The sequence below is a fragment of the Homo sapiens genome, chromosome 16 (assembly GCF_000001405.40).
Source record: "Homo sapiens chromosome 16, GRCh38.p14 Primary Assembly".
Taxonomy (NCBI): domain Eukaryota; kingdom Metazoa; phylum Chordata; class Mammalia; order Primates; family Hominidae; genus Homo; species Homo sapiens.
This window is the reverse complement of record NC_000016.10, coordinates 61,353,554-61,376,767: the sequence shown is the minus strand read 5'-3', so window position 1 is coordinate 61,376,767 and position 23,214 is coordinate 61,353,554. Positions and strand designations below refer to the sequence as shown.

Below are 23,214 nucleotides of genomic sequence, written 5' to 3'. Positions count from 1 at the left end.
GCCCTTCTTGGCTCCCAGAGTCATCCCTATCTCCCTTCCCTCATTGAATGGCTTTGTCCTGCGTCTTGAACAGACAGGGAAAATAGAAAGGCCCTGGGATACCAACCCAATTCCAGCAACAGAACTCTCTCTTATGAACATCCTAGAAAGCTGATATCAGATACTGGCACACACACAAAAATAAGTAGATAAAGCAGGGGAAAGGGAAGAATGATCATTCAAGCAAAGTCAGCTGGAGTCATTAGACTGGGTAACAGAAAAGCATTTAACTTCCAGTTGTTTTTAAGTGTACTGATTTTCCCCACCCTGGAAAACCTATGCTAGACCCAATAGGCAGCTGACCTTTAGTCCCCTCCCAGAGCAGCCTCTTTTGCAGCTTAATAACTGCCAATTTCTCAAAATTTTCTCAAAATTCAAGCTTGGGTATGGAGAATGAACACTGAAAAACTCTCCAACTTTTCCTTTTTAATAACCCTGTGATGCCTCTTCAGATTCAGTTCACCTGCACAGGAATGAAGAAAGGAGCACAAGTGGCATCATAAATACTCCAGTGGGTCAAATGTGAGTGGGAACAGATGACATCGTGTCTAATTAAGCTTTACAATGGAAAGAAACTGCTTCCATTACACCTGTGCCCTCTTCTACAAACATGCATGCAATTTATGAGTTTCCCCAAGGCCCTGCTTTGCCTCTTTGTAGTTCATATACTACTTTTTTTTAAAAATTTTCTGGCATCAACATCCCCTATTAAGTCATTTCCTTTCTTCTTGTCAATGTCTTTACATTCTGTCCATTTTGGGGACACACATAATGAAAAGAACAAGCATGTTGGAATCTCCCTAACTGTAGTTCTAAGTCTCTTCCTGATCACCTAGATATTCTGGGGACAATTTGTTGAATTGTTTATTTTTTTAGTTATTTGATTTGTACTGGCCTAGAGCTGACTATATTTCATGTACTGGTATGTATGTAGAAGACAGAAAGATAAAAATGTTCCTACCCTCAGGGAGTCACCAATCCACTGGGAAAAGATTAAAGAAGTCACTTTTGGAAAGTAGCATAAGTAAAAATTAAAATTACTTATTTTTAAAAAACATATTTTATATATTTATTTTTTAATAATCTTTTAAAGAAGGAGATTATTATTTCATTGTATGGAAAAGGCAATGAAGTCTCCGTTATTAAATAACATAGGAAGAGTCTTGCCATTAGGATCTAAACTTTAAGCTATATACATTTTTTAAGTCATATAACTTTAAGTCAAATCCTTTTCCACTTTTTGATTAACCTATTAAATCTCACGTATTTTCAGAGAGGAGTTAAGTCTATTTTGCTCAGTACAATAAATTTGGCATAGAATTTGAAGTCAATCCCTAATGTCTCAATTTTCTTCTGGACATATCTTCCTCAGTTCTATCTTCACCCCCACCCCTCCCTCACCTATGAGTTTTTCCGTGTGTGGTGCAAGTGCCAAGACTTATCACAGTGTCACATGTGAATTAGATGATTTGCAATGACAAGCAGCAATTGTCCATAGCTTTTCACACTCAGTCCCTATCCTTCCCTCTGGAATTGAGAAAATGGAGCATCTATAACTCACTAAAAATACGCACATATGGGCAGGGGGGAGATGTTACTAATTGAACTGTGTCCCTAGAAAGATATGTTGAAGTCCTAACCAATGGTATTTGTGAATGTGACTTTTTAGAAATAGGATCATTGGAGATTCAATCAAGTTAAGATGAGGTCACTAGAGTGAGCCCAAATCTAATATGACTGGCATTCTTGTTTTTCTTCTTCTTATTATTTTTATGGCAGGGTCTCACTCTATTGCCCAGGCTGGAGTGCAGTGGAGTGATCTCAGCTCATTGCAATTTCTGCCTCCTGGGTTCAAATGATTCCCTTTCCTGAGCCTCCCGAGTAGCTGGGATTACACACACGTGCCACGATGCCCAGCTAATTTTTGTATTTTTGGTAGAGATGGTGTTTCAACATGTTGGCTGGGCTGGTCTTGAACTCCTGACCTCAAGTGATCCGCCCGCCCTGGCCTCCCAAACTGCTGGGATTACAGGTGTGGGCCACCGCACCCAGCCTGGCACTCTTAATAAAAGATGAAAAAGCAGTGTGAAAACAAAGACACAGGGAGAATACTATGTGACAACAAAGGCTGAGATTGAAATGATGCAGCTGCAAGCCAAGGAATGCTAAAGATCAATAGCCACCACCAGAAGATAGAAAGAGGCAAGAAAGAATTTGACTCAGAGTCTCAGGGAGCATGACCCTACTGACACCTTGATTTCAGACTTGTCACCTCTGGAACTCTGAGAGACTGAATTTCTGTTTTTAAAAGCTATGGTGTTTGTGGTATTTTATTACTACAGACCTGGGAAATGAATACAGGTGATGCCAAAAATTTCTTAAGAAAACAAGCACTTGGATGTTGATTGCAGGATAGTGACCACTTCAAGTGGTTGGCATACTTGTCCCATGTCTCCTTGTGTCTTTACTGTGACAGGCAATTTGCTGAGCAATGTTATCACCATAGAACCATGTAATGTTTCAGCTGGAAGGATCCTGATGGTGATCATCATGGCTTGTTTGTTTTAACTGTGAAGGAATTTTGACCCTGAGGAAAGCAGTGACTACTCAAGGATGGAGCAAGAAAAAATATTCCAGTTCCTCTTTCTTCCATACCTGTGCTCTTTTCATCATTGAGACATTTCATTAGCCCTTATAATCTCTCCAGTTCTTAAAAGAGAAATCTGTGGGCAAAGTCCAAATCCAAACATAGAATTATACTGTCTCACTGTCCAAATATATAAAATAATTCCTTGGTGTATTAGTCCATTTTCACAGTGCTGATGAAGACATACCAGAGACTGGGCAATTCACAAAAGAAAGAGGTTTAATGGACCTACAGTTCCACGTGGCTGGGAAGCCTCACAATCATGGCAGGAAAGCAAGGAGGAGCAAGTCACGTCTACATGGATGGCAGCAGGCAAAGAGAGCTTGTTCAGGGAATCTCCCCTTTTGAAAATCATCAGATCTCATGAGACTTACTCGCTATCAAGAGAACAGCACAGGAAAGACCTGTCCGCATGATTCCATTACCTCTTACTGGGTCCCTCCCACAACACATGGGAATTCAAGATGAGACTTGGGTGGGGACACAGCCAAACCATATCACTTGGTATAGTGTTATTATTCCAGAAAGAATATATTTTGCAATTTTGCCTTTAAATTAAATTATTTGTGTACAAAAAAACACCTTTCAAATTTTGGAAGTAGTGAAATATTTATACAACAACTACAAAAATATAACCAGATGACCACTAAAGCTACAAATAAATCACAAAACTATAATTCTGGATATAATTAATATTCTTAATATTTCTATAAATGATTTGTATAGCAATCCACTGAAAGCCCTTTTGAAATGGTAATTGACATGTAAAATTTAGACAATAAGAAATTAGTGCTTCTCATATGTCTGGATAACTATGTAACCTTATGAAAAATAAATAAATTTAAATTTAAATAACGATATATTCATTATTCTATCATCAGATCATTGCTTAAAACAATAATACAGAATTATAGTACATCTACAGGAAAACAAATACTTTTATACATTATGCTCAATTATACATTAGAAAATAATTTGTCAACATAAATTGTCTTAAAATACATAATACCTTAACCCTGTAATTCTAGATCTAAAAATATATGTTCAGAGAAGAAGCTTAAATAACGTAATTGCTTGACCTAAAAATGTTTGTCCAGTATTCTTAAAAATATAATTAACTATAAATAAATTTCAACAACAAGGGATTTTTTAAGTATATTGTATGATGGGGCACTATGTGCCCATTATAAATATTCACAAAGTATTTTTAATAACGTAGAATGTTTAAATTATAGCACCAAGTAGAAAAAAGTAGAGTAAAACTAAAAATGTAGTAGCTAAACTGTCATACTTAAACCCACTACAAAAAGAAACAAAAGTTAAACTTCCCCAAAAGCAGTGCTATAAATTTGGTATCATCCTTCTCCTAGACCTGCCCCAATACATGCTCATAGATATAGATATTGATATATAGGTATAAATTTAAGAATAATTTTAAAAAGAAATCTTGTAACCCAGTTTCTTATCCTCTCTCTATTTCAAAAATTCATTCCTTTGTTAGAAAACAGAAGTTACCAAGTAAGTTACCAAGCAATATCAAAATAGAGAATTTTCAGGATATGGAAGAGGATATATCCAAGCTCTCCTGAAGGGCTGGAGTAGAAACAAGTCTTGATAAGGGATGACTCCTAGGGAGGGTCCTGATAGATAAACAGAACTTATCTATTTTAAGTTTAAGCCGTTCTTTCTCTTCCCTGCTCCTTACCCTCTCTTATTTTTGAATAAATTGTCTCTCATTTTAACCAAAAGTTGCAGCTGGGATTCAAAAATTTTTATAACACCTTGCTCTTGTCCACTCTACAGCCAATTAATACAGGATTTAATAGATGAGAGAGCCAGGTGAATTAATTAGAGTACTTTCTAGTTTTTCTTTTTTTTTTTGCTTTAATAAAACTCTAAAAAAGAGTATCTATTTCTAGTGACAGAAGCTAAAGACCATGAGGTTCTGCATGTATTGGCAGAACTGCTTCTCAACACACCACATGGGAGAAGCTGGTGTTCAGTGAGGGAGGAAGAACAACAGACAGTGGGAGGCAGAGACAAATGCCAGGGAAAGACCAGGCAGGATTTTCATCTCTGTACCCCATAGTACTCTTGTCTTTTGTAGGATTTAGTTACTGAAACTTCAACTCAGTAACAAACTCTATATACTTCTCATTAGAATTTCTATTTTCTTAAAGTGGCTTGATTTAGGATTCTTCACAATGTAACTAGAGAAGTATCATAATGCATGATACAAAATTAGAAGGGTGAACCAGGAGCAGACTTGGATTGGCATTCTTAAGAATGTAAAATGTAGCCTGTAACCAACATAGAAATTCTAATAGAATTTCAGTAGAGGACTAACATGTTCAATTTGTGCTTTTAGAAGCACCACTCCAGTGGACATGTGCAGAAATTATCGGTATATGGCAAAACCAAGCGTCCAGTTTGGAAGCTATTATCATAGTCATTGTGAGAGAGAATGAAAGCCAGAAGTAATGAGTATGTAAGGAATGCAAAAGAGACAACCAAAAATAGTAAGTAACTTTGGCAAGCCATATAGATGTGGCTGTATAGCTTTTTTCTGAGTCTGATCCATATATTCCTCATGTCATATCTTAAGTGAACAATCCAAGGAAAACCCACTGTCCTTCAGTTGAATTTTTATTGCCAGGCTTTGAATATTCTTCATTTTTAGGTCAGCAGGCACAAAACACAGATTTCTCTCCCCTTGCCGACTCACAGTAAGCCTGAGAGTCTACACAAAGCATGCTGAGATCGATACATGGGAAATAAATAGTCATTTTTATTGTTGCATTGATAAGGAGGAATGCTTTCTCTTACACAAAGGAAAACTGTGAGAACTATAAAGAAATCCTAAAGATGGCTTTAAGGCAAATTAAAAATTAATGACAAGAAAAATCAAATTCCTTTTGTGGTCTATCTTCCCCCACCTGCAGATAACTCCAAATACCGTTACTGAAGGAATCACATTAGTGTCTAATTTAAAGGAATTTCTTCTGGCAAAGTCATCACTAAACATTTAATTACACCTGTTTCCATCAACGTCTTAATTTTTCCAAGAGAGTAGGAGTGGCACCATCACCTAAGGCACCCTGGCTCTTGCCTGGCAATTCAGAGAATTGCATGACCTTTGTTCTTAGAGAGGAAATTGCAGTTTTTAAAAACTCATCTACAGAAAGATCTCTCACTCACAACACAATCACACCTGTCAGGTCACTGCTGTCATCCATCTTCGGTAGCATTGATTTCTTGAAAGAAATGACAATAACCTAGAAAAATGGTGAGGAAATATTTTGGTGTATCGTAATGTGCCCAGCTGCAAATACAACCCATATTACTTATTATTAGCAACTTCCTTCCTGTCACTTTGAGTATACTCAAGACCACAAATGCCACAGTGTGAAAGATATGTATTTGAGTTTCATATTTATTCAGATCATTTTCAAATAAACAGGCAAACAATAAGTTTGAATCCCAAATGTTTTTAAAAAAATAAAAAAGACTGCTGCCTTCTTCCTAATCAGGAATTTCTCTGCACTAAGCACGGATTTTTCAAGCAAATGGAAACTAGATTTAAAAATACTACAGCACGCATTTGAATAGCAACTGTGCTGGTTTGTGAGAATGTGATTTGGTATAACTTTTTTGTGCTCAGTTTTCTCACCTGTATCCATAGCATAATAATTGTACCTGGGTCATAACATTGTTGTGGGATGCAATTTGAAGTAATAAGGGTAAACCTGAAATTGCTTTTCCTACAAGTTGGGATTAAAAATGGATACCTTATTTGACAGTCCTAATTTCTATTATAAACCACAGAACTGACAAACAGTGAATTCTCATTACACACTAGATAGAGGCCGGAGTAGGGAGTTTGGATTTCAGATAATTAGTAGGCAATAAAAATCCATCTTACCTTCTAAACATAGATATCTTTGTCAAAATGCCTATGATTGGATCTACTATAATAGCAAAACATATCAATTGGAGTCATAAAGGCCAAAGAGTTGTTGCAATAATCCAGGTGAACAATGTTAAAAAGCAGCTAGCCTAATACAATTAGATACAAAGGGATAGAGTTAAGAGATTATTTCATAGAAATTGAAAGATTATTTTATAGAACTGACAAAATTCGAAAATTAATTTGGATGTGATTATGACCTCAGTAACTAACCCATGTGCCCAGCACATGTCACCAGAGCTCAAATGCATGTTAAATTGTAAAACTGCACAACAAATAGTTGGTTAAGTTTAATGTTGCAGCTGGAGAACTTTCTCAGCAATTCCTTTTCTGTTTATGCGGATTTCAGTAAGACGACATTTCTACCCGTATTTTCTACTTTATTTACAGAGGAGCCTTTAAAAACCAGGAAGAACTGCCTTCAGCGCAAGTGATCATTTATTATCCAAGTTTTAATCAAATTAGCTTTTTTTTAGACTAGAAATTTGATGTCAATCGCAATTGATCTCAGCAGAGGAAAGGAGGGGAGGAGAAGTCATATATGAGAAGCGATTCAGGAAGGATTTCTGGGAGATAAATATTTGTAATGTAATTATAGATGTGTCATCAACACCACTATAATTTACTGTCAGTCACCATACTGATGATAGGATCTTATCTTCCAAGGTATAACTCTCGTTCACTGCAATTATCTCCAGGATGAATCTTCATGCTCAAAGCCCCCAGTGTAGAATTATTGTGAGATAAGATTCAGAAATTGATATTTCCGTGTCAATGCCCCATGATGTGGATCATCCAGAGGTCTCAAAATCTCTTCGCTGTGTGGCTGAGGGTTAGTTGCAAGTTGTCAGAAACAGATGTTGGTGTTTCCACCACGTTGTGTCATTTCCTGACATAAACAACTTGCCTGAACAATCAATTTGGGATAGAGGTAGGGATTTGCAGTTAAAAGGTCTCACACAAGCTAAATTTTTAAAAGTTGACTTAAATGAATTTCAATGTAAACATTCTGGATGCTGAATTTAAACCCCAATTCTCTCAGTTTTCTCAACCTAATATCTCTTTTTCTTCCTCTTTTTCACCTTCATTGCTGCTACCAATAATCTATTATCTGAACTACTTTCTAAATTATTCTTCTGCCTCTAATATTTCCCAATGTATGTACTTATTTTCCTGTCAGAATTTAAAAATGTTTCATCACTCAGTTGTGTAACCATCTCCTATAACACTTTAATACCCTCATTATCTTGCCTATCCCAACTATTCTGTATTCTTAATGGAAGTAAAAAAATGGAGCCAGGCACGGTGGCTCAAACCTGTAATCCCAGCACTCTGGGAGGCTGAGACAGGTGGGTTGCCTGAGCTCAGGAGTTCAAGACCAGCTTTGGCAATACGGTGAAACCCTGTATCTACTAAAATACAAAAAATTAGCCAGGCGTGGAGGTGTGTGCCTGTAATCCCAGCTACTCAGGAGGCTGAGGCAGGAGAATTGCTTGAACCCGGGGGACGGAGGTTGCAGTGAGCCAAGATCGTGCCACTGCACTCCAGCCTGGGCAACAGGGCGAGACTCTGTCTCAAAAAAAAAAAAAAAAAAAAAAAAGATTGTCTTCAAGTTGCTAAAATCTGGTTAAGACTCAACGTAGCATTTTTTCTGTTTACTTGTCTAAGGGTCATTACAGCTACCTGTTCATAATTTTTTTTTGAGAATCCTGAGGTGGAAATGCCAACTTACATCTTTATGTTAGCCAAGAAATGCACTGATGTAAGAAGAAATCTCTGAGTGGGTCTTAAATAAGTAGGAGTTTTAAATTTAATTAACCAGAGAAACAGCGACCTGAGCAAACCACATAGATTGTGAAAGGAATAGCATGTTTAAGGAAGAGTGAACATTTTAATTAAACCTTGAAGGATGTCCTTCAGAGTCTGGCATTGGGAGAAGATTAGGTAGGAGGCCAGGTACAGTGGCTTATGCTTGTTTTCCCAGCACTTTGGGTGGCCAAGGCAGGAAGATTCCTTGAGCCCAGGAGTTCGAGACCAGCCTGGGCAACATGGCAAAACCCCACCTCTACTAAAAGTGTTAAAAAATTAGCCAGACAGGGTGGGGCGTGTCTGTAGCCACAGCTACTCCAGAGGCTCAGGTGGGAGGACCACTTTAGCCCACAAAGTCGAGGCTGCAGTGAGCCACGGTTGTGCCACTGCACTCCAGCCAGGACAACTGGAGTGAAAAACCTGTCTTAAAAAAAAAAAATTAGGTAGGAGTCATTTTCAGGGTCATATGGAAAAAAGGTTTTGCAAACCATCCTAAAGAGTTTATACCCCTATAAAGCACAATTCAAAGAGAATGAAAAAGAGCTTCCAGTCTTTATATTCATTTTATAATGCTTACTCTGAACCCAGCATGCAGAATTCATTGGGGAGAAAGACGAAAAAAAATAACAAAACAGTCAGTGGAAGTAGAAATATTTTACTTTTTTAAACTGTCCAGTATGCAATTAATATTCCTCTCTTAATTTGGAGGAACTCCATTCTGTGTACATTCCAGAGATATAGTGCATGCTTCCTGATCTGCAGTCTGAACAGGGAGTAGAATCTTTCTCTTTTTTGTCTTATCACAATCGGAGCTCAACCCTTAACTTAAGTTCAGCCATTAGTATGCTCCACTAGGACTTTGAGTCTCAAAGGACTGAGACACATAAAGTCAAAGAAGTGTTAAGATCCACTCTCACCTAACGCAGAACCACCCTGGCAGTGGTGGTGCCTGCAGTTCTAGAACACTATTCTTGGAAGACTTCATGCCCTTGAAAGGCCATTGTTCTGCCTTGTAATTTTCCCAGTCTAAATTTCCCATTCTGGAATAAGAGGTAAGTAGGTATTTTTATTCACAACGTTGTGCAGAAACCTAGAAAAGATTTGCTTAGACATTTTCAACTGTGCACAAAGAGTCTTTCAGATTCTCATCGACTTTGGAGCAAAGGACACCATTTGTCTAAATTTTCTATTTCTTAATGAGACTAGTATTGTTTTCTGTTGCTTGCATTCATGGGCCATGAATGAGGGAGAGTCCACTGTAAAGCAGAGGAAATATAGAACAGCGGACAGATTTAAGGCATAGGTTTAAGGCAAAATAGACCAGATGACATGGTGACATCAGTAAATGATATGCAAACGTGTAATGTTTATATTCATCTGCAAACTACATATGGCTTTTTAATCTTGTTTCTCATTCTTCTACATTTAGCAGGAGTACATGTAAAGAACACCATTAGCTGCAATTGTTGGTTCCATCTTCACTGTGCATTTTTTCAAAACAGATTCTACCCACACCTGTTCCCTGGTAGCAAGAGCAGTGCTTGGCTCTCCGCAGAATGCTAAGAACGGTGTGAATGTAAACAGATATACAATCGACAAGGTAGGAGGCTTCACTGGAAAACAAAGGGCCACCGTGTGGGAAGGGAATCTTGGAGACCAGTTAACTGTGCATAGCAACACTTATGCTACAGAGTAGTAAAGGGAGAATAAAGAAGTGAGTAGGTAGATAGAAGACCAATCAAGCACATCATATGGTGACTGCTAAGGGTTTTAAATGTCATTGCAGAGCAATGCTAGAACTTTGCCTGGCCCATGGAACTAAATATTTTGCTTGTTTCCCCATCCTCAACTACTGCAAATAAATCCAGTTTTCTCTCACAGATTTGACAGACAGATTTTCAACCACCTCGTCTATTCTGCAAGCAATGGAGTTTCAGGACAGAGACAAAGGAGGGTTTTGGAATAAGAGGTAAGTAGGTGTTTTTATTCACAATGTTGTGCAGAAACCTAGAAAAGATTTGCTTAGGCATTTTCAACTGTGCACAAAACAAAGGCAGACCATTAGTGAGGACTAGCCTATCTTGTTCTTGGTCCTACTAGGTGGCGTAGTAGGACAAGACAAGAACTAGAGGGGGTATATTATGAAACTGTGCTCACCTCTTCTCTCATCTTCAACATCATCCCTTTAATTCAGTGGACACTTACTAAGTTCCAGAAATTGCACTAAACCCTGTATATGCATTATTGTATAGACTCCTCACACTGTTCCTAGGAGTTGGTAATAACATTCTGCCCATTTTATACATGAGTAAACTGAAGCCAATTTTGATACCATAGCCCACTTTCCCCACTCCCTCCCTCTTTGTATTACATTTGCTTCTAAGGCAGCAATTTGTTCAACTGCAGTGAGAAGACTCAATTCACTAATTCTAAGAGTTCCTCTTATACAAAACTAAAAACCAAGTTTTTCTGCAACCCACTCAACCAATCATATTCTTGCAGAGAAGGAGGAGCATTAAAAACTATTATTGTCTGAAGAAGACTCTTATAATTTAAACTCTATAACCCGTTCTCCAGAAAATATTCAAAACCAAAATCACTAGCAAGTAACAGCTTATTTGAGTAATCTGTGATGTCTGGAACAAAGATTAATAGAATGAACACAACCTTTCTTAAAAATAAGCACTTAAAAATTTAAAATTTACCTCAAAAATTGCATTTAGTCTTGCAGAGTTAGTGAATTTGATTTCATTTGACAGATACTATTATTTCATTTTCAGGAAATGTTTCATGTTTTCCACACTCCACCTGTGAGAACAAGAAGATAGGGAAATCAGAAGAGAAAGGGAAGGAGGCCAAAATTTGGAAAGAACTGTAGATAGGAGTTCCAAATCCTGTTATTCTAGCATTATTTAAAATCACTATTCTTCTTAAACATAATACATATACTAGACTACATACTCCTGAAAATATAACAGATAGCTGTGGAATGCTTTATAAGGCACACCTACAAAAGTAATGTGCTCTGTAATGACGATAGAGCTCATAGCCATCAGTCATGTGGCGTGTTCAGGAAGGACAGCCAAGCTTTAATTAGCTTATGCTAAACGGCTTTAGTATCAATTTAGGCAAAATGTGACACTTGGTGGAATTGTTTGGATGGCCACTAGGAATAATGACTCACAGAGCAGAATCACCAAGAGAAAAGTGTGTAATCAACAGACACTAATTCTGATAGGAATCAGGAAACCATCTGGAAACAGGAAAGAGGAAAAAAAAGAAATACTTTGAAAGTACAGAGGTAACCATTTGCTATTGCTTGAATGTGAGCAAATTAAAGACAACCAACCTCTCTTATGAAGGAAAATTATTATCACTGTAATCATGCACACAAAAAGATTCATCATATTTCTAAGAAATGTGATTGTATGCAGATATACCAGCCTGAGCGCTATAAGAAGTAGTGTTGTATTGTATTCATATTTCCATTTATCATGATTCTTTGGATAATAATATGCCTCCCACTGAGGATAAGGTATGTGCAAAACCTCAGGATTTGCACTCAGAGTGGCTGAAACTCAAATTGTTGTTCCAACACTTGTTTCTAGGAGCATGACCTTGAGTAAGTTACTTTACTTCTCTGTTTTTGTTTTGTTTTGTTTTTGTTTTTGTTTTTTTGTTTTTGAAACAGAGTCTCAATTAGTCGCCCAGGCTGGAGTGCAGTGGCTTGATCTCAGCTCATCAGAACCTCCGCCTGCCAGGCTCGAGTGATTCTCATGCCTCAGCCTCCTGAGTAGCTGAGATTACAGTCATGCACCACTACACCTGGCTAATTTTTGTAATTTTTAGTAAAGACAAAGTTTCACCCTGTTAGCCAGGCTGGTCTTGAACTCCTGAGCTCAAGTGATCTGCCTGCCTCAGCCTCCCAATCTGCTGGGATTACAGGCGTGAGCCACTGGGCCTGGCCTACTTCTCTGGTCTCAGTATGTGCCTTCTCTGATCTTAAAGTATCATATTGTTGAGAATAACAAAGCAGAATACAGTGGCTGGTGCAGTTCTGCTTTAAAAAGTGGTACAGAAACTAAATCAGTGCATGGAAGATTATTGTGTTTATCGATTAAAAAAATATATATGTGAATATGCGTAGCACCCTGAATCAGCCTGCCTAGGCTTCATTTTTTGCTTAGCATTAGCTATGCAAATAGAGTAACTTAGATTATTTTCTGAAGGTGATTCCCCTATCTGGAAAATGGACATATTAGTTGTTACATAAGCATATTAAGAGTTACCTAACTGTGTGTGTTTGTGTGTGTGTGAAGCAATTGATTTATAGGCTATTTTCATTATAAATGTCTCAATATTTTGGAAATTCTATAATAACCCTGAGTTCAAGAAGGATTTTAAATTTGCCTGTGGAGGAGTTCCCGGATGGGGCTGGACCTCTTGAATTAAACCAATGCTTAATAAATAGATTAGATGCTGAGGAAAAAAATGATTAAAATATTTTGTAGTTGTCTTGTAGGACCTGAGTTTACTAGAAAATCCAGTATATCACAGTACAACAATTACAAAGGTTAATAATGACCAAAGTCCTGTGGGGCCACTCAGCAGAAGCCTTTGTAGGTGTCTATAATTGAAGATGAGGTATTTTCAAGGCAAAGGGTAGAATTCAGAAATATGCAAAAGGAAGTGATATGTACCAGGACACAGTGTCATGATGCAACCAGTTTGGGAAATTTGAGAGCTTGGAAAGTGGGGTTTTACCAAGTAGGTGTATCAGAGTGGTACTGAGGCTGAGAATTAGGTTGGAGCAGGTTTTAAGGGGTCTTGTTAAAGAGCTTTCTATGTTCTTATATTCTCTGTAGCTTTCTCTTTATCTGTTGCATGACAGTAAAGGAGAGAGAGAGAGAACATCGAAGACAGAGACAAAGGGAAAGAGATGGAACAAATTAATAATACCTAATTCTTATTTGAATCATCACTGTATTAAGCACATCAGTTTTCTGAATTCAATTTGCAGCAGAACTTCTTATTAGCCATGGGAATGCCAACATACCTCACATACTGTGTGCTCTATTTTACTCACCCCTAACGTGGGTTTAAGAATGCAATTTTATTTTTACATATTCTTTGGATGGTCAAATGAGATAAACCGAGTGCATTACTTTGGCAATACAATATATTGTTTACATGGCCTTTTTTCATATGCTATCATTATTCTACACCTGCTTGGGTATGTTTTGTAATGGCAGACACCAGCCAAAATATCTATCAAATGTTTCCTTTTGCTTGTATGAGGATTTAAAACATGACCACAGAGAATGCCTGCTGAGACAATCAAAATGAATATTTACTTAGGCTAGTAATGATCAATGTCTTCTGAGTAATATGGAAATTGAGTTCAACACACGGAATAAAGCCGAGGCTCCGAAACTAAGCAAAACAGTATTACCTAATGTACTCCCCCACATAATTGCTTGTCTTCTGCTGTGATTTTCACAATAGAGGGATCATTTATGTGCACTTATACATTTTACTGTTGACTGCATGACTGTACAACACATTGGAGAAAAAGGAAGCTGCGGTAATAAGAATTCATCAAACATCCTCAATTGCTCCTTTTCAAAAAAGCCTCTAAGGAAAGTTTCAGCATCAAGACCATTTATGAGCTGTTAGAAACTGTCAAAGACAAAGCCTGGAAACTGGGATGGGGGCTGAGTTCAGCTCTTGCCTCAATTGCCAACCCTTCTGGGACCATAAGCAAGTTATTTTATAAAATCCCAAAGCAGGGAGAAAAGCACAAGGAGAGAAGTGTTATCACCAATCTGTCTCACAAAGGCATTCCAGAACTCCTTTTGCAAAAGGTTACTGTCCTTCTCACTGTAGATAGAAGATAGACTTGGTAGACTCACTTCAAACCTCCCTTTGGGGAACCTGATACTCAATGGAGCTCCCAAACCAAAGTCTTATGAAGATTTTGAGGATGGAATAAAATCATATTAATAATACTAAGCCTGCAGCACAGTTATTTCCTGGTTTTGAAAATACTTTTTCAGGTGAAGCCAGCTATGTATTATTAAATATTACACTAAATGCCATTTGGTAAAGATATCAGTGCGTCTCCTGCTCCTGAACTATTAAATTGTATGTGCCTATAAAGGATGCCTGAAATTCAGTTCTGAGCCATTTCAGGACAGAAAGTTTCAAAACACAGGGCAGTGGAAATTTTACTTCTGTTAATTCTTTGATATGACAAGATTCTTTCATAGTTTGGACCCTAATGAAGGAGTTACTCTCCCTGCCAAATGTCTTGTATTTCACAGATTATTGCTAACAGCACTAGGTGAAATGTTAAAGGACAAACAACTGTAAGAAGGGATGCTTTTCTTTTCATTTTAAGTCTTTGCTCTATCGTCTATCCTATACATGGTATCTTATGAACAAATTAACTCACTAATATAAGGTATTATGCTTATTATTTAGGGAAAATAATCTGTGTGAATTAAAATCATTTTGAAGGTTGGATGATTCTTAGTAATAAAAGTAAATTTAAAATATTGTGCTTTTTTTTCTCAAAGATTACATTTGATAACAACTAAGCTAACAAAATGCATGAAACAGTGGCTTTCAAGACCCTGGGAAGCAAGTGCCAAAGAACAGCGATCTCTAAGAGACATAAAACAAATGAGTTATGCCTTAAGGTCATCCTAGCTTAATGACCAGAGGGTGTCTAGGCTGTGACACAGTAAGATGAAAACCCGGTGAAACCCAGCAGATTCCCTGAGGTCAGGAGATGGAGCTGGGAGTCTCGGGGTGACCAAGATAATTAGAGTACTGAAGAGGAGAGATCTGAAAAGACAGAGAACCCTGGAAAGCAGCAGAGATTCCCACTCAAGAGTTCATCAGAACACTAATCAGAATATGTGTGTGAGGATTTTACTCAAGTCTAAGAAATGTATTCCAAAGTACTGGAAGAAACAGGATGTGGTATACACACAGAGTCAGGAATAGTGCCTGTTCCTACTGGAAATGTGGAAAGCCTTATAATTCACTGGTATTGATAAAGAGACCATGCCTCAGGCCTGGGGATTCCCTTTAGTCCCTCTCAGCAGAGAGAGCAAGAAAATTTGTGTCTATACTAACCCAGGTACACACACACGTTTAAATGTATTTCTTTTTTTTCTTTTTTGAGACAGAGTCTCACTCTGTTGCCCAGGCTTACTATATATTACCATCATTATCTATATTAAGATAACCATGCATCCCTAGGGCCTCATACTCCACTCCTTTACCTCATAGGTCATTCTAACCTTCTCCCTTGCTTTCCTGTGACCTTCCACTCCAACAGTGAGAAAGCTGGCTAGCACCATACAACATCTATTTACCTCATTGTTTAATTCCCCTATACTTATTGAATTTCAGAATTATTAACTCTACCTACATGGGAAAAACCTTTATCAGCTAGAGTAGAATGCTGATGGACAGTCCCTTTTGCCATGAATATGACAATTTCACCAACTTTCAAACTTATTTAGGTCAGCACCTTTACTCACAGTAACTTGAGTGAGATTGTTTCATACATTGTAATATACTTAGACAGTTATAACCATCTGCATTTCATCCTGGGATTGCCTGTGTCTTAAATGGCTTCTTAAAATTTGCATTATTTAAAGATTTTCTCTTTATTCTGTAAAGTTCTATGAGTTTTGACAAAGACATAGTGAATATTCACCATTACAGTATCATACAGAATAGTTTCACTGTATTAAAAAAATGCCCCTTGTTTCACCTATTCAACCACCCCTCTCCCTCAGTTTGAACCCCTGGGAACCACTAATCTGTTTGCTGTTTCTATACTATTGCCGTTTGTGGAGGGTCATATAAATCAGCAGTCCCCAGTGTTTTTGGCACTAGGAACCAGTTTTGTGGAAGACAATTTTTCCACGGGCAGAGGGGAGGAACAGAAGGATGGTTTCGGGATGAAACTGCTCCACCTCAGGTCATCAGGCATTAGTGAGATTCTCATAAGGAGCGTGCAAACTGGATCCTTCGCGTGTGCAGTTCACAATAGGGTCCGCGCTCCTATGAGAATCCAGTGCCACCGCGATTCCACAGGAGGCGGAAGTCAGGCAGTAATGCCCGCTTCCCCACCATGCTTGCCACTGGACCAAACTTGCTGTGCAGTCCAGTTCCTAACAGGGATCAGCAGTACCAGTACCAGTACATGACCCAGGGCAGGGGTTTGAGGACCTCTGATATAAGTGGAATGATACAGTATATAGTATTTCTAAACTGGCTTATTTCATATAGAAGTATGTATTTGAAGGTCCTCCATATTTTTTCTTAGCTTAATATCTTACCTTTAAAAAATTACTGAATAGTCTTCCATTATATCCATGTGCTAAAGGTTATTTATCCATCCAGTACTAAAAGATATCTTGATTGCTTCCAGTTTGGTGATTATGAATAAACTACTATTAACATTATATGCAAGTTTTTATGTGGGTGTAAGTTTTCAGCTAAGGTGAGTATATACTTAAGAGAGCAATTGGTGGATTGTAAGGTAATATATGTTTAGCTTTGTAAAAATAATACTGCCAAACTGCCCTCCAACATGGCTGTGCCATTTTTCTATTCACACTGACAATGGAGGAGAGTTCCAGTTGCTCTGCAAGATTTTTCTCGTCTGTTTTTTCTGCAGTTTGAATATGATAGGTCTAGGTGTGAAGTGTATGTGTCTGTGTGTGTGTGTGTGTGTGTGTAAGATTTATTCTGCTCAGTGTTTTCTGATTTTTCTGGATCTCTAATATGGTGTCTGACAATAATTTTTTAAAACCCTTGGCCACTATTACTTGTAAGGTTTTTTTCTCCTGCATTCTCTTTTTCTTCTTCTTCCGTGTTTCCAGAGTTATTGAATGTTCTGTTTTTATTGTTTTCATTTTTTTCTTGTACTTCATTTTAAATATATTTTCATCATTCAGTTTATATGATCCATCTATGCTTACATGTTGTCTGCTTTTGCAATTAAACACATATTATTTATAGTTTATTTTAAATTACTTAGCTGATAATTCTAATATTGTTTTATATCAGAGTCTGGTTCTGAGACGTGTGTTGTAGCTATAAGTGGCAGAAACTTATAAGATTTTTTTTTTTTTTTGCCTTTTGCCCTGTCTTGCAATTTCTATTGTTGCTGTTGAAAAACGAACACATTATATCAGAAAATGAAAACTAAAGTAAATAGGCATTAAATGCAAGAATTTGTTAATCTGGTCATACGTAGCACTTTCTTCTGTAACTATAGGTGGCAGATGCTTCACATGTCTCTAATGGCCTTTTTACTATCTCTTCACTGTGGCCTTCCATAAATACTTCAGTTGAGAAAGATTTTGTGTTTTGTCATTCTATCAGTGGTAGTAATCTCTTGTCCTTATACAGGAGCCAGGCTTGTTGGTATGATGGTAACGTGTGGGACCAGTAGCATTCTATAACCTTCTAGTTAAATTTCAGTCCTGTATTCCTATGACTCAAAGTATAATCTTCAGAAGCAGACTTTTGTTTTTGTTTTTTAGTAGTTTTAGTTGCATGAAAAAACTGATCACAAGGTAGAAAGATTTCTCAAATACCTCCTTTCCCCACACATGCACAGCTTCTCCCATTATCAACATCCTCCAGCACAGTGGTACATTTCTTGAAATTGATGAACCTACAATCAAATGTCATTGTGACCCAAATCCTACAGTTTACATTAGCGATCACTTTTGGTGTTGTACAGTCTATAGGTTTAAACAAATTTATAATGACCACTATAGTATCCTACATGCTAATTTCACTAACCTGAAAAACCTCTATGCTCTGACAATTCATCCCTCCTTTATCCCTGAGAACTCTGACATTTTTACTGTCTTGATAGTTTTGCTTTTTCAAGAATGTCATACATAATGTAGCTTTTTAACATTGCCTTCTTTTGCTTAGTAATATACATTTAAGTTTCCTCCATGTTGTTATATGGCTTGATATTTCATATCTTTTTATAAAATTCCAGTGTCTGGAGGTACCATAGTCTCTTTATCCATTCATCTAATGAAGTAGATATTCTTCATTAGATGAATGGATAAAGAGACTGTGTTACAAACTATGGTACAAAACTCAAACTTGCTTTCAAGTTTTGACTATTGTGAATAAAACTGCTATAAACATCTGAGTGCAGGTTTTGTGTGGGCGTAAATATTCACTTCATTTGGATACATACCAAGAAGCATGATTATTGGATTATAAGGTAAGAATATGTTTTGCTTGATAAAAATTGCCCAATTGTCTTCCAAAGTGGCTATCCCATTTTCTACTACTACCATCAGTGAATGAGAGTTCCTATTGTTCCACTGCTTCACTAGCCTTTGGTGTTTTCAATTCTCTTGACTTTGGCCATTTTAATAGGTATGGACTGGCATGTCATTGTTGCTTTAAATTTCATTTCCCTGATGACATATTATATGGGAGCATCCTTTTATATATTTAACCTCTGTGTATTTCTTTGGTGAGGTGTCTGTTAAGGTCTTTTGCTCATTTTGTGGGAGGGGGATTGTTTCTCTAATTTCAACTTTTATTTAGATTCAGGGGTTATATGTGCAGGTTTGCTACCTGAGTATATGGCATGACGCTGAGGTTTGGGGTATGATTGATCCCATCACCCAGATACTGAGCATAGTACCCAATAGTTCGTTTTTCAACCATCACCAGCCTCCCACGCTCTACCCTCTAGTAGTCCCCAGTTTTTATTGTTGCCATCTTTATATCCTTGAGTACTTAATGTTTAGCTCCTAATTATAAGTGAGAACATGTGGTATTGGATTTTCTGTTTCTGTATTAATTCATTTAGGATAAGCCCTCTAGCTGCATCCAAGTTGCTGCAAAGGATATGATTTTGTTCTTTTTCATGGATATGTATTATTCCAAGGTGTATGTGTACCACATTTTCTTTATCCCAATCACTGTTGATGGGCACCTAGGCTGATTTCATGTCTTTGCTATTGTGAATAGCACTGTGATGAACATACAACTCCATGTGTCTTTCTGATAGAATTATTTATTTTTCTTTGGACATATTCCCAGTAATGAGATTTCTGGGTTGAATGGTATTTCCATTTTAAGTTCTTTGGGAAATCTCCAAACTGCTTTACACAGTGGTTGAACTCATTTTCATTCTTACCAATATTGTATAAGTATTCCCTTTTCTCCACAGCCTCACTAGCATCTGTCATTTTTTGAGTTTTTAATAAAAGCCACTCTGACTGGTGAGATATGGTATCACATTGTTGTTTTGATTTGCATTTCTCTGATGATTAGTGATGTAGAGCATTTCTTTCATGTTTGTTGGCCACTTTGTATGTCTTCTTTTGAGAAGCATCCGTTCATATTCTGTGCCTATTTTTTATGGGGTTATTTGCTTTTGGCTTGTTAAGTTTCTTACAGATTCTAGCTATTAGTTCATTATCAGATGCAAGTTTGCAAATATTTTCTCCCATTCAGTAGTTGTCTATTTAATCTATTGATAGTTTCTTTTCCTGTGCAGATGCCCTTTGGCTTAATTAGGTCTCACTTGTCAAATTACTGTTTATGTTGTTTGCCCTTTAAAAAAAAAAGCTTCATTTAAATTATTGAGTGTTAAGAGTTTTTCGTATATTTTGGGATAATAATCCTTTATCAAATATGTCTTTTGCAAATACTTTTTCTCAGTGTGTGGCTTGTCTTTTTATTCTCCTGACAATGTCTTTCACAGAGCACACAGAAATTTTATTTTTAATGTAACCCCACTTATAATTTCTTTCTATCTTGGATTGTGCTTTTCATGTTGCATCTAAAAATTCGTCACCATATCCAAAGTCATGTAGGTTTTCTTCTATGCTACCTTATTGGAGCTTAATAGTTAGTTTTTTGTTTTTCTGGTTTTTTGTTGTTGTTGTTTATTTGTTTGTTTTGAAATGGAGTCTCGCTCTGTCACCCACGCTGGAGTGCAATGGTGTGATCTCAGCTCACTGCAACCTCTGCCTCAAGGGTTCAAGCCACTCTCCTGCCTCAGACTCCCAAGTAGCTGAGATTACAGGTGTGTGCCACCATGTCTAGCTAATTTTTTTGTATTTTTAGTAGAGACAGGGTTTCACCATGATGATCAGGCTGGTCTCGAACTCCTGACCTCAGATGATCTGCCCGCCTTAGCCTCCCAAAGTGCTGGGATTACAGGTGTGAGCCACTGAGCCCAGCAGTGTTTTACATTTTGATTTGTGATTCATTTGCACATAGCTTTTCTGAAGAGTGTAAGATCTGGGTTGAGCTCTATTTTTTGCATGTGTCCAGTTGTTACAGGGCCAATTGTTAAAAATACTACCTTTTCTCCATTGTATTTCTTTTGCTCCTTTGTCAAACATCAGTTGAATATATTTATATTGGTCTATTTATGGAATATCTATTTTGTTTTATTAATCAACTTGTCTATTATTTTGTCAAGATCATGTTGTCTTGATTATTGTAGCTTTAAAATAAGTCTTAAATTTGGGTAGTGCTAGCCATATATTGTTCTCTAATATTCTGTTTGCTATTCTAAGCCTTTTACCTCTCCCTGTAACATTTAAAATCAGCTAGTGAATATGCACAAAATAACTAGCTTGGACTATGATTGGGATTGCACTGAATCCATAAATTGGGGGAAAATTGACATCTTGACAATATTGAGTCTTCCTATCCATGAACATGTATTATTTCTCCATTTATTTAGTTCTTCAATTTCTTTCAAAATAATTTTGTAGTATTCTTCCCACAGACAGATCTCATACATATTTTGATAGATTTATACCTAAGTATATCATTTTATTGGGTGATAATGTAAATGGTATTGTGCATTTAATTTCAAATTCCTCTTATTTATTGTTGTTATAAAGGAAAGCCATTGATTTTTAATATGAACCTTGTATTGTACATCCTTAAATATTCAGTTTTTAGTTTCAGAATTTTTTGACAATTCTTTTAGATTTTCTACAATCATGTCACCTGTGAACAAAAACAACGACAACAGCTTATTACTTTATTCCAGATCTGTATACAATTTTTCTTCCTTTTTCTTAGTGCATTACATAAGATTTCCACTATAATGTGGAAAAACAACGGTAAAAGAAAATAGCTTTGCTTGTTCCTGATCTTAGTGAAAAAGCTTCCAATTTCTCACCATTAAATCTGATGTTATCTGTAGGTGTTTTGTAGATATTTTTTTATCAAATTGAGGAAGTTATCCTCTATTTGTAGTTTTCATTAGAGACTTTAGCATATTAATTATAGTTGTTTTAAATTCCCAGTCTGATAATTCCAATATTTTTGCCAGATATAAATCTGGTTCTGTTTCTTGCTCTATCTCTTCCAATCATCTTTGATCTTTTAGTAATCCTCGTAATATCTTTTTGACAGCTGGATATGATATACTGAGTAGAAAAAATTCCTCTCTATAGGTCTTAAATAGTATGATGATAAGTTGTCAGGGGAAGGACGCTTCTATAGTTCTATGATTAGGTCTGTTTCTTAGTGAGCCGTACCCCTAGATGGTGAACTTCATGAGTGCGTCTCAGACCTCCTTCTACCTGCTTAGGTGGGACAGGTTGGCTTGAAGGGGCTCTAGTTGGGTACTTCCAACTTTCTCCAGGTCAGATAGGCTCTGATAAAACTGCAGCAGGTTAGGCTCGGGTTAAAGAGTTTCTACTGAGGGTAGACCTTGTTAAGAAGAATGGAACACTGGCATATTTCAAAACTTTTTTTTTTTTTCATCTCCCCTGCCAGAATCACAGGGAGTTTTTTCTCTGATATCCTCTGTGAGAACCTGGTAGAGCTCCAGGAGGTAAACGTCATAAAAGTGTGGGGCCCCCTCATGCCTGGGTCTCCCTGGAGTTTTTTTCTCTCAGACTTCACACTGAGCCCCCAGCAATTTGTCAGTTACAATTTGGGTTTCCCTATCCTGACACAGGTCCCTGTGGAAGTGTCTGTTGATGGATTTTGTCTTTGGTTGAGTTGTAATTCTATTTATTTCCTTCTTTGTCTCTCCAATTTTATAGGCAGCATCATGCTCCTGTGACCTCTTTATTTTTATGATTCTAAGAATAATTATTGATTGTTTTAGTTTGTTCAGATTTGTATGTCAATAGGACAGAGTGGCAACTTCTAAGCTTCTTACGTGCCAGACTGGAAACAAGAAGTACAGATTTCGTCTGTTTGCCTTTTTCCCTACTCACTTTTCTGGCTGCAATGTTTGCAACATAATTTCTTAAAGCCCTGATACCAGCCCTGATTATATTTCTGTGTTAAGTGAGGCAGGAAGGCCAGAGGCATCAGGACATCAGGCTGAAATCCCTTTTCCCACCTGAGACATAGTTCTGGCAAAGTCTTTCGCCTGAAGTGTAAGCCTCTGTTATGAAGAAGGCTGAGTATATTTCACAGAGATTACTTTTCCCATCATGCAGCCAGAGGCCCAAATGAATATATCCTGGTTCTTCACTGTGAGAACTTAGAGTGATTTCTGGAGATAAACTCAGCAAAATTATAAGGGCTCTTCTAAAACTACGACCCCCTTAGGGGTTCTCACTATTGCCCTCGCCCACATTCATTCTCCAGCAATGTGTTAAAATTATCATTTAAATATTCCTAACATGAGATGGCTCCTGTAACTTCTGCTCCAGCTAAGCAGATCACAGTGGCTGAATCTCTCTGCATATCC

The 23,214-nt window shown here is 37.2% G+C and overlaps 1 long non-coding RNA gene across 1 annotated transcript in view, besides 1 other annotated feature; it reads right to left on the bottom strand.

Moving 5' to 3' along the window:
* Positions 1-11,264, bottom strand: part of LOC105371302 (uncharacterized) — an 82,213-nt gene extending 70,949 nt beyond the window's left edge. The window contains exon 1 of the long non-coding RNA XR_933656.1: positions 11,168-11,264. This is a non-coding gene — a long non-coding RNA (uncharacterized LOC105371302). The remainder of the gene's footprint in view (positions 1-11,167) is intronic.
* Positions 2,449-2,674: a silencer, noted in NCBI's record as "fragment chr16:61407998-61408223 (GRCh37/hg19 assembly coordinates)". NCBI's record gives its function as "represses an EF-1alpha promoter that drives an FKBP-Casp9 reporter gene in an ReSE screen in K562 erythroleukemia cells {active_cell/tissue: K562}" and the evidence as "EXISTENCE:reporter gene assay evidence [ECO:0000049][PMID:32094911]".
* Positions 11,265-23,214: the final 11,950 nt, after the last annotated feature.